Source organism: Homo sapiens, chromosome 18, assembly GCF_000001405.40.
Source record: "Homo sapiens chromosome 18, GRCh38.p14 Primary Assembly".
Lineage (NCBI taxonomy): Eukaryota > Metazoa > Chordata > Mammalia > Primates > Hominidae > Homo > Homo sapiens.
This window is the reverse complement of record NC_000018.10, coordinates 37,219,888-37,233,854: the sequence shown is the minus strand read 5'-3', so window position 1 is coordinate 37,233,854 and position 13,967 is coordinate 37,219,888. Positions and strand designations below refer to the sequence as shown.

Here is a 13,967-nt window from a genome sequence, read left to right as displayed (position 1 = left end):
CATCCCCAGGGGCAGCCTGACTGGCAAAACAAGAAAATAATATCACTAATTGTTCAGTTCTGAAGAAAGGGACAGATTTGGAAATACTAGACGTGGAGGATGGAGGCTGGGGTGGGGAGTACGAGAAAGAAGGGCAGGAGTTACCCATAGGCACCCCTCATGGAGGCAGATGGCCATGTGGACCACAACTGAGGTCCCAACCCTGGAACGGCTCTCAGCTCTGCCTGATGCTGACACTCCTCAAGGCTGAGATCTGGAGAGCCAGGGCCATTGAGGCAGAGGTGTCTTAAGAAGCCAGGACCTTGTATGAGGGACGAAGTTCTAGGCTGATGGGAGAAACAGAGGTAAATGACATTCTCAAACCAGGGCAAGTGTGGCAGTGGGGTGCCCTGCTGGAGGCACTGCCTGAGGTGGTGACATGCGCGGGAGGCAGCGATGGTTGGGAGCTGGCAGGCCCAGCTTCCCAGCTCTGTCTGGCTATCATGGAATCCCCCACTCTCCATGCTTCAGAGGGGCCCACTGCCCCTTGCCAGCCTCCAGATAAATTATAGACACCTGATATGTATAAAGAGGTTTGCAGTTGTTTACTCAGCAGGTGCATGAGCATCCTTCCATCAGATCCCTACAGATACTGTGCCAGGCAAGGCAGGCATGCATACATGTGCTATCTATGTTTTGCAGACAGGCACTGAGTGGTGAAGGGACTTGTGCAATGTCACACAGCTACAGAGCAAGAACTTAAACCCAAGCCTCTGATGGAACACTAAGTAAACTGTTGCCAAGGACTGCAGTCTATGCAGGTCTCATGGGCCTATGCAAGCATGAGCCTTGCTGCTCCTCCAAGTTTAAATGCCAAGCCTAGCATTCAAGGCTGTCCATGAGCTCACTACCTTGGGGTTCTTTTCTCCATGCCTTTGAACACAGTGCTTCTCTGCCTGGGAAAATTCTGATTGAAGACCCTGACCCAGAGGTTACTGTTCAGGGCTCTGTGACTGCACTGACCTCAAGGAACTCTTAATTGCAGCTCAACTTGACCTTCTGCCTCACTGCCCTGTCCTCTGCTGGAAGTCTGGAGCTATGTTGCTGAACTTTGGTTAGCACATAGTGGACAATCAGAAAATGCTTCAGAATTCACCCAAGACCAGTGATTCCTGAATTTTTTTGGGTCACAGATCCCTTTGAGAATCTGGTGGAAGGTATGAATCTTCTGATCCAGGTGAGCTCTCAGGTGAAGAGTGAGGTGAGGAGAGGGTGCTATATGCAGGGCAGCTCTCTGCCCAGACTGATGTTCCTGGCAGGGCTTTGATATCATGAGGAAAGACCGCTTCTCTTTCTAACACAGCCTCACTCCCACACCTGCCCCTGGACAGGACAGCGCAGAGGGCAACTAGGGTGCCCCATTTCTGTGCACAAAGGCTGTCCCTAAGCTCAGGTGGGAGATTGAGGGGATGCAACCCCTCAATGCCTGTTCCTTCCATCTGGCTAAGCAAGCGGAGAGGCAGGGAGAAGTTCTGCTTGTGATCACTGCTCCAAAGTCCTTTCTCAGACTCATCCCTGCTCAACTGCTTTTTTTCCCCTCCAACACAGTAAATCTCCTTCTATTATTCTCCAACTTGTAGTAAGCTGTGTCATTTTGAGAAGAAATACATAATGGTATATTAGAAGAATCATGGATCTTCTCATTCATGCTTAGAAAAAATTTATTACAATGTAAGAAAGTCTGAATAGCATGAATTTATTATAATGATTTAACACTTCTAGCACTCGAGTTAAAAATGCCCTTCCATAAATAACTGTCCCTGGAAAACATAGCAAATTTACACAGTTTACCATTTCCCAATGTTATATAAATCCAACAAGCTTAAATCACCTGCAGCTGAGAGAAGAACAGAGGAAACCAGAGCTGTGAAGTTCATCCCATCCCAATGGGCAGCAATGAGGAGTGAGAGCCAGTCTCCCCTCCTCCAGCTCCCTCATCTCAGCATGGGACTGGCCAATCTCAGCACTCAAAGAATGGGGAGAAGAACAGGGTGGGGCAGTACCTGGAAGAATCAAGGAGGGCAAACACCACAGTCTTACAGCTGCAGAACAGGTGAAGGGCACGGGCCTAGGGCATCCTGGAAGACGTCAGGCCATGGGCCATTGTTTGTGTGCTGGTGCCAAGGAGGTGTCAGTTAAGGCTGCTCAGCTGTGGCCTGCAAGGAAGAAGGGAGGGAGAGGCCAGCTCTGATGTCCTGGTCAGATCTTGAACAGGGCCTGTCCTCTGGCCAACCACCTCTTCTACTTTCTTACAAATGCCAACGCTGCTTTCTACTCCTGGGCCTTCTGGATCCTCCGTGTTCCAAGGACCTCCCTCTTGGCACTCCCTCTGGCTCCACTGGACACCCTCCTCACCCTACTTTCATGGACACTGTGGCCTCATCATTCTTGCTTTCATCTGGGCTAGTTTCCAGATCTAGGTCAGCATTCCAGGCACCAAACCTGTAAGGCAGAAATGGTCACTTCTCATCTTAATAAATATTTTTATGCATTATTATATTCGAGGCTTAGAGAATATAGGCAACTTGCCTAAATCTACACAGCTCACAAGTGGTAAGGCTGGGTTCTCCAAAGTGAATATATGTTTTCTTTGAACACTTTACATTCTAATAGGGCAGACAGTGCACAGAGCAATATGGGACAGATTGAGGTGGGCTATAACAAAGGCTCTACAGAGTACTATGGGAGCCAAGAGTATATAATGATGCCTGAGAGATTAGGAAACCTCCATGGAAGTGATGATAACTGAGCAAGGTCTGGAAAGATTCATCCAAGATAGAGGGACCTGGAAAAGTCACATAGGCAGGAAACAGCAGCATGTCCTTGGGAGACGGCCAAGAGTTGTGAGCTGCAGAGGGGAGAAGGGAGGGGCAAGATGCTGACAGTTCCGGTGTGCCACTCTAAGGGGTGCACTCCTTTCCTGTAAGCAGTGGGGAACTTGTGTATTTTAAGCACTGAAGTTACAAATCTTAGATTTGTAAGAAAGAAAATGCTAGTGAATGTGGAAGATAGGACTGAAGCGGGAGGAAAGGAGGTGTCTTCTAGCCCCACCCTCCCCAGTCCTCTGAGTATGGCACTTACTTTCTACTTGCTTTAGAGAGCTGCAAGAAGGCTGGAGTAGTCCAAAGGGTACTGGACTTTGGGGCCACAGAATTGTTAAATTTTCTTCCTCCCTCCTATGTGCCTACCCATCCACCTATTTGATAAATAATGTTTGGGAGCCTATAACGTGCCAGGAACCATGCTGAATTCTGAGGAATTAGTGATGAATAAGACTGATATCTTTTTCTGGCCATCCTGGGCTTACGGACTAAAGGAGAAATCAGAAAAGTAAACAGGCCATTCCAGCACAGTAAGTATTGTGATAAAAGATGTACAGAGGGCTGAGAAAGCTCCTAAGGTCAGGAAAAGGGTATTACAGTGCCTTTAGAAACTACTGGAAGCTCAGTGTGGCTGAAGCACGGAAGTCAAGAGGAATAGAGTGGGAAAAGAAGGGGCTGGAGGTCTAAAGGCTGCAGTGGGCCATATCACCAAGAGCCTTGTGCAGTATGTGCAGAAGTACAAACACAGAGGGCAGTGGGAAACTAACTAATGCTTTAATCCAGGTTGTGACATGATATAATGACCTGGTGGCTTTATGGAGAATAATAGGTTACCCTTGCTGAGTGCTTATTATATTCTATGCTGAACACTCTACCTGTGTTAGCTCATTTAACCTTCACAATAACTTCATGAGGTAGGTTCTGCAATGATCCCCATTTAAAGATGAGTGAGGCAGAGAGAGTTACATGTTCTAGCATGAATCCAGGCCATAGGGCAGGAAGACCAATAAAGAAACTGTCGTACTAGAGAAGCATCAGCAAAGAGAGAGAGAAGTGGGTAAGTTTGAAAATAGGAAGTGGACTTGATACTTTTTTTTTTTTTTTTTTTGAGATGGAGTCTTGCTCTGTCACCCAGGCTGGAGTGCAGCGGCATGATCTTGGCTCACTGCAACCTCCGCCTCCCGGGTTCAAGTGATTCTCCTGCCTCAGCCTCCTGAGTAGCCGGGACTACAGGTGCGTGCCACCACGCTCAGGTAATTTTTTGTATTTTTACAAATACAAAATACAGAGATGGGGTTTCACCGTGTTAGCCAGGATGGTCTCGATCTCCTGACCTCATGATCCGGCTGCCTCGGCCTCCCAAAGCCTGGGATTACAGGTGTAAGCCACCGCGCCTGGATGGACTTGATACTTCTTGAAGATTGACTAGAAATAGGAAAGAGAAGGGAAGAAGTAAAAAATGACCCTCCCACCCCAGTTTCTGAGTCTGAATTCTATTTCTGACTAGTTGATGACCTTGGCAAGTTTTGCTAAACTTCATTTTCATTATTGGTGCAAAAAATCACCCTCAAGTTTTAGGTGTGCATAGATGTATACCTGGCCTCATTACATAAAGGATATGATGTAGCTTACAAGAATAACCCATATAATGGGATGATTTTGAAAACTATGAAAAAAGGCCTCATCTCATAAGGATTGAATAAGATGGTGCACAGGGCCCAGCCAAGGGTGTGGCACACAGTTAAGTGCTTCAGGAGTTTTCGATGCTTGCCTGGCACCCACCGGCCTCCACTCTACATGCCCAACATTCTGGATTCCTCTCCTCCTCCCACACGGTCTGGGTTTTCATCCTTCTTTCCTAACTCTATCACTTCCAGGTCATTACCCCACAAAGACATACAGGCATACCTCAGAGATATTGTGGGGCTAGTTCCAGATCGCCACTATAAAGCATATATCACAACAAAGGGAGTCACACAAATTTTTTGTTTCCCAGTGCATATAAAAGTTATGTTCACACAACTGTAGTCCACTGTAGTGTGCTGTAGTCCACTAAGTGTGCAACTGTATCATGACTAAAAACAATCAACACATATTAACTTAAAATCCTTTATTGCTAAGGATCATCTGAGCCTTCAGTGGGTTGTAATCTTTTTTTTTTCTTTTTTTTTTCTGAGATGGAATCTTGCTCTGTCTCCCAGGCTGGAGTGCAGTGGCGCAATCTCAGCTCACTGCCACCTCCGCCTCCCAGGTTCAAGAGATTTTCCTGCCTCAGCCTCCTGAGTAGCTGGGATTACAGGTGCCTGCCACCATGCCCAGCTGATTTTTATATTTTTTAGTAGAGACGGGGTTTCGCCATGTTGGTCAGGCTGGTCTTGAACTCCTGACCTCAGGTGATCCACCCGCCTCAGACTCACAAAGTGTGGGATTACAGGCGTGAGCCACCATGCCGGGCTGGGGGTTGTAATCTTTTTTTGCTCACTGAGGGTCTTGCCTTGATGTTGATGGCTACTGACTGATCAGTGTGGGTTGCTGATCAGTGTGGCTGTAGCAATTTCTTAAAATAAGACAACAATGAAGTTTGGCACATAATTGACCCTTCCTCTCATGAAAATTTCTCTGTAGCATGTGATGCTATTGGATAGCATTTTACCCACTGTAGAACATCTTTCAAAATTGGAGTCAATTCCTTCAAACCCCGACGCTGCTTTATTAAATTTATACAATATTCTAAGTCTTTTGTTGTCATTTCAATTATGTTCATAGCATCTTCATCAGAAGTAGATTCCATCTCAAGAAACCACTTTCTTTGCTCATCCAGAAGAACCAGCTCCTCATCTGTTCAAGTTTTATCATGAGATTGCAGCAATTCAGTCACATCTTTAGCTTCACTTCTAATTCTAGTTCTCTTGCTATTTCCACCACATCTGCAGTGACTTCCTTCATTAAAGTCTTGAATCCCTCAAAGTCATCCATGAGGGTTAGAATCAACTTCTTCCAAACTCCTGTTAATCTTGATATTTTGACCTTCTCCCATGAATCACAAATGTTCTTAATGGCATCTAGGATGGTGAATCCTTTCCAGAAGGTTTTCAATTTACTTGGCACAAATCCATCAAATAAATCATTATCTATGGTAGCAATAGCCTCAAAAATGTATTTATGTATTTCTCAAACAATAAGATGTGGAAAGTTGAAATTACTCCTTGATCCATGGGCTGCAGAATGGTTGCTGTGTTAGGAGGCATGAAAACAACATTCTTCTTGTAAATATTAATCAAAGGTCTTGGGTGACCAAGTATATTGTAACAGTTATATTTTGAAAGAAATCTTTTTCTCTGAGCAGTAGGCCTCAACAGTGTGCTTAAAATATTCAGTAAACCATGCTGTAAACAGATGTGCTGCTATGCAAGCTTTGTTGTTCCTTTTATAGAGCATGGGCAGAGTAGATTTAGCATCATTCTGAATAGCCTTTGGATTTTCGGAATTGTAAATGGGCATTGGCTTTAACTTAAAGTCACTAACTACATTAGCCCCTAAAAAGACAGTCAGCCTGTCCTCTGAAGCTTTGAAGCCAGGCATTGACTTCTCCTCTCTAGTTACGGAAGTCCTCAATGGCATCTTCTTCCAATAGAAGGCTGTTTAATTTACATTGAAAATCCATTGTTTAGTGTAGCTACCTTCATCAATGATCCTAGGTAGATCTTCCAGATAAATAACTTGCCGTAGCTTCTATATCAGCACTTGCTGTTTCACATTATACTTTTACATTATGGAGATGGTCTCTTTCCTTAAACCTCTGCTAGCTGCAAGCTTTTCATCTATAACTTCATCTCTCTCAGCCTTCATAGAATTGAAAAGAGCCAGGGCTTTGCTCTGGATTAGGCTTTGGTTTAAGGGAGTGTCCATACAAAAAGTTTTGCATGGGCCTGGGCGCGGTGGCTCACACCCGTAATCCCAGCACTTTGAGAGGCCGAGGCAGGCGGATCACCTGAGGTCGGGAGTTCAAGACCAGCCTGACCAACATGGGGAAACCCCGTCTCTACTAAAAATACAAAATTAGTTGGGCGTGGTGGCGAATGCCTGTAATACCAGCTACTGGGGAGGCTGAGGCAGAAGAATTGCTTGAACCCGGGAGGCGGAGGTTGCAGTGAGCTGAGATTGCGCCATTGCACTCCAGCCTAGGCAACAAGAACGAAACTCTGTCAAAAAAAAAAAATGTTTTGCATGGATCTTCATGGCAGCATTCTTCATAATAACAAAAAAAAAAAAAAAAAAGGGAACAACCCAAATGTCCATCAACTGATGAATGGATAAACAAAAATGTCATATATTCATATGATACAGTATTATTTGGCAATCAAAAGGAACCATGTATATGTGACAGCATAAATGAACCTTGAAAACGTTATGCTGTGAAAGCCAGTTACAGAAGACCACATAGAATATGATTTCATTAATATGACATGTCCAGATATGCAATTGTATAGAGACAGCAAGTCAATTAATGGTAGGCTAGGGCTGGCAGTATGGAGGGTGACTGCTAAAGGGTATGGGTTTCTCTTCGGAGTGATGAAAATGTTCTAAAATTGATTGTGGTGATGGAGGCAACTCTGTGAATATACTAAAGACTACTGAACTGTACACTTTAAATAGGTAGACTGTACAGTATTTGAGTAATATCTCATAAAGCTATTACCAAAAAAAAAAAAATTTAAAAAGGGCTTTCGTTGCTGATTGGCAAGGAGTGCTGAAAAGTCAAGAGTGAAAACTTGACTTTGACTCGTCTCTCTTTAAACTGGGCTTGGGTGAAAGCCAGTTTGTGAGGTGTTAAGGGGCAATGAATCCAAGACTGCTCCCTTTAGAAGTCTTGCTGCAAAAGGAAAGAGAGAACCACAGTGGTGGAAAGAAGGGATGATAAAGTTAGCTGAAAGTCTGGGCTATTCACAGGGTATTTTTTTCAAATTAGGGGGGATCTTACACTTGACTGAAGTCCCTTGATTCCCAGACTGGGTCTCCAGATTCCTAAACACCCAAATGGTGTTACCAGTAGTCCATGAGCAATTTTCATTTTCAGTTTGGGAGCTGTTTGAGTAATGATTCTGTTCCTGCTACCTGTGCCTCTGAGGGGCAGGTGCGAAGTCTCCGTATTCAGGTGCAGGTGCCAGCCTGGGTTGGGGAACAGGGGGCAGGACAGGGTCTCTGTCTGAGTTGAATCCACAGGTGTGATCTCAGAATTGAGCACTTTAGACACTGAAGCCCTCACATACATTCTTCCAGCAACTAAAGGCAACTAGGCAGGGCCATTTTTCTTGTCTTAAAGTGCTGTGATACTTCTTCCTTGCTGAGCAGCTATGGGGGTAGGCACAGAGAAGGGACTTACAGGTGCAGAGAGACTGAATGTTCTGTTCCAACAAGCACAAAATCTAGAGGCGGCTTGGTGTTCACGTGATGTGAGTGAGCAGGAGCCACAGCAGAAAAACCTACTGGGATGTGACAAACCATTTCCTTTCTCTCAGTCAACGACAGGCTCCTGCTGTTTTAACAAGTACTGAGGAAAATAACATTTTGATAACCTGCAGGTCTGCACTTGCTTTCAAGCTATGCCTCACTGATCTGATGAGGGATGTTCAAGGGACAATTCAATATCAAACCCACATGGGGAAAATAGCCATAGAGATGATTTATTAACTTGAAATCTCATACGTACATAAACATTTGCTCATATTCAAAATACACTCTGAGCTGAGGATAAATCGTGAGTTGGAAGGAGTCCGCCACAGCCTCCATCTCTCTTAGCAGACTTCGTCCAGCTCTGCCCCATCAGGCCTCTCCTCTCCCCTGATTCTCTGGCCAGAAGATCTCTATTATGAACTTGGTGCCGGAAGCAGGGACAAGTGAAGAGTAGCTCTGAGGGAGCAGAAAGAGTCCCTCTCTCCCCATGACATTTGGGGTGCTCTAGAAAAGTCCCCATCATGGGGATCAGGTTTGGATAAACACAAGTTTGCCTCCTGGAAAGCGGACTGTTAGCAAAAGCTTTTCTATGATTCACTTTGGTTCTCTGCATCAAGAACTGTGGGCCTTACTTAGGGAGTTCAAAGGACATGCTGTGTCCTTTTCCATTTTGTAAACATTGATTGGTTTTTCTCTCACAGGAGTTGGGCAGCAGGGTGGGCAATGGTGAGGCACTATCCGCAACGCCCTCGGCATGTGTCCAGTCTTGCTTTGGGAAGTGTCTAGAGGCTGGACGAGCAAATCCCAACCAGTCAAGGGTGGGAGACTTGAGACGGAGGAAAGGCAGATTCCTTTGTGCCAGATCCTTTCTCTTGGGATAGTCTGCAACAGCTTTGAGGCTCTGTAACAACCTTTCATTCATATGTATGTATATATTTCAAAGTAAATTTAAATAGATTAAAATGTTAACATGTACTATTCAATTAATAATGAAGACATTAGATTATATACAAATTTACATCCTATTGCCCTTGCACCAACACCAACAAAATGTCCATTAAGTTAGAAAAAGGCAACTGGTGATGAGTTTTGCATGTGAAAAATGTATTGGTTGATATTCTGCTGAAAGCCCATCTCTGCTTTTCCAAATTGGCCATTCATGGAGAGGCAAAGAAGCAATAAAACTCCACTCTGTGGCTGTGACCCCCAAAAAGCCTTTAGTTTAGACTCTGTTTACGATTCTTCTAAAGGCAAACAAGCTTCTTCAAGAAACTGTGATCCTTTTCTTGATCCTCTGGCATCCTCTCACTCCAGAGTTTTAAGGACACTGGAGTCTGGAATGGGTGACTGTGGGCATGGGAGTAGTCTATGGGAGTCAAGTACACTTAAGCTAGTCATGACACAGGGGGCAAGGAAAAGAAAGTTCTGGCAACCTAACTTTAACTGAAAAAATGGCTGAGGGCTCTTAGTTTGCCATCCACCCATTTCTGCCATACCACAGAAAGCTCCACACTCCAAAGGCTTTTTGATATGGGATGAAACCGATTTGGTTACTCTCAGAGGTGAACTTTATAAAGAAATTTTAATCTGTAATGATTTTCCAACTTTTTAAGGGAATGATTATAACTAGTTAGTCTTGACTTTATATTTATTTCAGAAGAAAAATATAATATTAGTGGGCTCCATTCTTTTCTACTCCAAAGAATAAAAAACCCCAAGTGAAAGAAGGCTGGGTGGAGGTGACAGCGCCAGTCTCAGCCTGAAGAGACATGAGCTTTGGATCTATCTGGATAAGGAGGCTGCTCAACAAGGCTTTTCTAGATTGAAATAATCTAGTTTTAATTAAAAGAGTAATTCAGGGAAGCCACGCAGACTCGCTGCATGCAGGCTGCCCTGGGTGGTATGACTTTGTCTACCAACACTGACTAAGTCTTACTCCCAGTTTAGTTGGGGTTGGTAAAAAGGAGAGAAAAAAAGCCACACCCTCCAGATCAAATAAAATTCCCAAGTAATACACATCTGGGAACACACCCTCCCCTTGCTTTCAATGACTGGAGAGTTTTGAACTCTGGCTAAACCAGGATCATCATCCCCATTAGCTTGAGAGGCTACTAGGGACCACTGCAAGCTGAAGGACCCATCTCAAGAGCTCTGTGGGAGAAAAGACAGCAGACAGGATGAGGTCTGCACTGCATAACTTCCATAGGCTTTCTCTGGGTCAAAACGAGGCCAGTGAGAAAAAGTAGGGAGACCCTGCTTGGGTGGTGGAACATACTCTGGCAAGTAGAGATGGTTCTTTGGGGCCACGAGCAGAGCACCTGTGAGGCCTGGTCAGCTTGTATCCTTTAATCCTCGTGGAGGAAAAGGGAGGGCCAGAGGAAGCCCATCAGCTTTGCAGCAGCTTGCATCACTCTCTCTCTAGTGGCATTTTCCGTAGACATAACCATGGAAAGTTCACAGGAGCACGTGTGATGGGGGGTGGGGGGGTGGGGTGAATAAGCTGAACACTTGGGTAAATAAAAATACCTAGGGATTGTTCTTATTCATTCTGGGATATTGGAGGGGTGGTCACCCAAACATTGGTAGAAGAGTGCTTCAGGCTTGTGCCTCCACTGAATTTCCCCAGGACTAATCACTCCCTGATGTGATTTAGTGCTGCTTGCTCCCAAGGATTGGCTGGGTCTCACCCTCCAGCCCATTGAGCTCTTTGGTTATGGGATGGGCAGCTGCCAGGCTGATGGCTACTGAGACTGACTCACAATTGGCTCTCGTGTTGTTTGTGATGGCAGGGGCACCAACTCCAACTTCAGAATTAAAGGACCACTTACAGAAATGTAGTAGTGAGAGAACAGGATGAGAAAGATGAGAGAGTCTGCCTTTCTGAAACTGCTTATGTTTCAAAGGGGTTACTTTTAAATCAGAGGGATTTTTCAGTGGAAAGGTTTTTCTTGTATATAAAAGTGAGTCAGCATTTTCTAGCAGAAGTTTGAGAAGGAAACACTCTTGAAATGAGGCTGAATATGCAATGGTTTCCACCACGCAGAAAGTATCCTATGTTAATTTTCTAATCTGTTTAGCATATAAAAGATACCATCTTCCATTCCTACCCCCTTAGTGTGTTATCGAATGCCTGGTCTGATTGAAAATAACCTGGGTTGTTAGAATGATTTCTATATTCAATACGTAACAGGATGCTAGTGAGACAAGTCCCCGTGAAAGGAGAGACACAATTACTTTGCAATGAAATAATTTAAAATCCTAGATCAGTATGTGAGGAAACCCACAAATTTCCTAAGAAAATTTTGCAATATGTCAAATGAAAAATATATCTTCCAGAATCTGATTCTCCTCCAACTCTTCAGGGGTTCTGTGCATCCCCATCTTCTTCCGGGTTGATTTTAGAGGACTGAGTCGGAAAGTACCATGATTCCAGGCCCCAGCTTCTCTGGAGGGATAGCGCTGAGGTTTGGGCGCAGAGTTTGGGCTCAGAGACTGAACCAAATCCAACAAAGATGTCTCATACCTGTAAGACATATAACCCAGACAGGAAAGGATCAGATTATTAGAAAATGAGAATTCAAGAAGCCCAGCAGAAATGGGCTGTCCAGGGCAAGAATTAGATTACAGATCACATCATGCATAAGATGATGCTTAAGGGAATTTTTGTGAAGGTAAACACCAGAAGGACTTGAAGAACCTAGGCCCTGCTGCCTGTACATAAGCTCTTCTCTTTTGCTGACCCCTAACATTCCTTTATAACTTATGAAGAGAGATTGTAGAGTGGGAAGAGTAATCATGATAACAGTAATGATATTAACAGTGACATTTACTGCAGGCTTACTGTCAGGCACTGTTCCTAACACTACAAATATTTAACCTTCCTATAATCCTCTAATGAACCCTAGGAAGTAGGTACTATACTACTCTCATCTCCATTATAAACATGCGGAAATTAAAGCTCAGGGAAGTAACTCATCTAACAGAAAGCAATTACACAGCAGAGTCTAGAATTGAACCCAGGTGGTTTGTCTCCAGCACTCTCATCCAGGACACTAAAGCTGTCTGTCGAAATCTTCACAGACAGACACGCTTGGTTCAAATCTCTGTTCTACCATTTGCAAGCTGTGTAATATTGGGGAAGTTATTCAGTGTCTCAGTTCAGTCTTTTCATGTGTAAGAGGCTAGCAAAACTCCAGTTAGGATTAAATGAATTCATTGATATAAATGAATACATAATAGGCACTGAATAAATGTTAGTTCCTTCCTGTTAACCCCCTTCCACTTTTTCTAGAAGTTTGGGAAAAGATTCTAAATCTATAAAGACATCCCTCCAAAGAAAGACTGCCTTGTGTCCAGCATTCTTTTCAGAAAGGGTAAGTGCAGAGCAGCTTAGAGGTAAAAAAACATTCTGGGGGCCGGGTGAGGTGGTTCATGCCTGTAATCCCAGCACTTTGGGAGGCCGAGGTGGGTGGATCACTTGAGGTCAGGAGTTCAAGACCAGCCTGGACAACATGGTGAAACTCTGTCTCTACTAAAAATACAAAAATTAGGCGGGCATGGTGGCATGTGCCTGTAGCCCCAGCTACTCAGGAGGCTGAGGCAGGAGAATCGCTTGAACCTGGAAAGTGGAGGCTGCAGTGAGCTGAGATCGTGCCACTGCACTCCAGCCTGGGCAATAGAGCAAACAAACAAACAAAAAACCAACCAACCAACCAACCAAACAAACAAAAACAGTTTGGAGTACCACATAGGGCCCTAAGGGGATAGCTGGGGCCAGAACCTAGCTCCAAATTAATGGTGGTGACAATGGCAGAAGCAGCAGTGGTGAGAGGCTGGGTTGTCTGTTTCCCAAGCCCATCCCTGTGGCAAAAATGTCATCTTTCTGGCCTGAGAACTGGGATAGGAACTGCTAGCATTAAGTATAAATGCCAGTAAATTATTAGAAAATAAAAACATACACGTGGACATTACAATGAAGCATATCAGAGATATATTAGAAGCCTTCAAAGAGTTTAGAATCTCTGGTTTTAAAAACTGCTACAACACTGGAAAGCGAACATCCACAGGTTTGGAAATAAAAATTAAAGATTGTTGCATTTGATAGGAAAAAACCCACTATTCTCATATGCAATTTCTAATGAACCAATTATTAATGAGGAATACAATTTTTAAATTTAATTTTTCTTTGTAACTGAAGATGCTGCTATAGAAAGCATAAACAAGCACTGTGAATTATAGACAAATCATTAAGTGATTTTTGGTTTCTTATATGATCTTTATATGTTACAGAACATGCTAGAGAAAACATTAAAATGACATCATAGAGATTTGTATTTAAAATTAAATTCCAACATGTATGAAACTAATGTGTATGAAGAGTTAAATCTTTTTAGAAAATCTGATCCCCAAGAATAATCACCTCTATATAAACTAAAATTCATATTTGGAAATACTTTATTAGAAATCTATGCAAATGTTGGCACAGCCTACAAAATACTCTTAGCAGCTCCACTGTCAGTTGCATCAACAGAAAGATCCTCCTCAAAATTAAAAATTAGAAAAAATTGGGGGATACAGTTCCAAGATGGCTGAATAGGAACAGCACCAGTCTGCAGCTCCCAGTGTGATCGACAAAGAAGATGGGTGATTTCT

At 43.8% G+C, this 13,967-nt stretch overlaps 1 protein-coding gene across 23 annotated transcripts in view; it reads right to left on the bottom strand.

Annotated features, from left to right (window-relative positions):
* Window positions 1-1,682: 1,682 nt before the first annotated feature.
* Window positions 1,683-13,967, bottom strand: part of KIAA1328 — a 403,046-nt gene continuing 390,761 nt past the window's right edge. For 22 of the 23 annotated variants that reach the window (NR_136304.2, NR_136305.2, XM_047437678.1 and 19 more), the window contains one exon: window positions 8,521-11,838. Coding sequence is in view for 20 of the 23 variants with exons in the window: in XM_047437678.1 (XP_047293634.1) it covers window positions 11,628-11,838 (211 nt within the window). In the remaining 3 variants the exon portion in view is untranslated. Of the gene's footprint in view, window positions 2,196-2,292; window positions 2,482-4,195; window positions 4,287-8,520; window positions 11,839-13,967 lie in introns of those variants that run through there. The other variant, NR_136303.3, reaches the window with a different exon arrangement.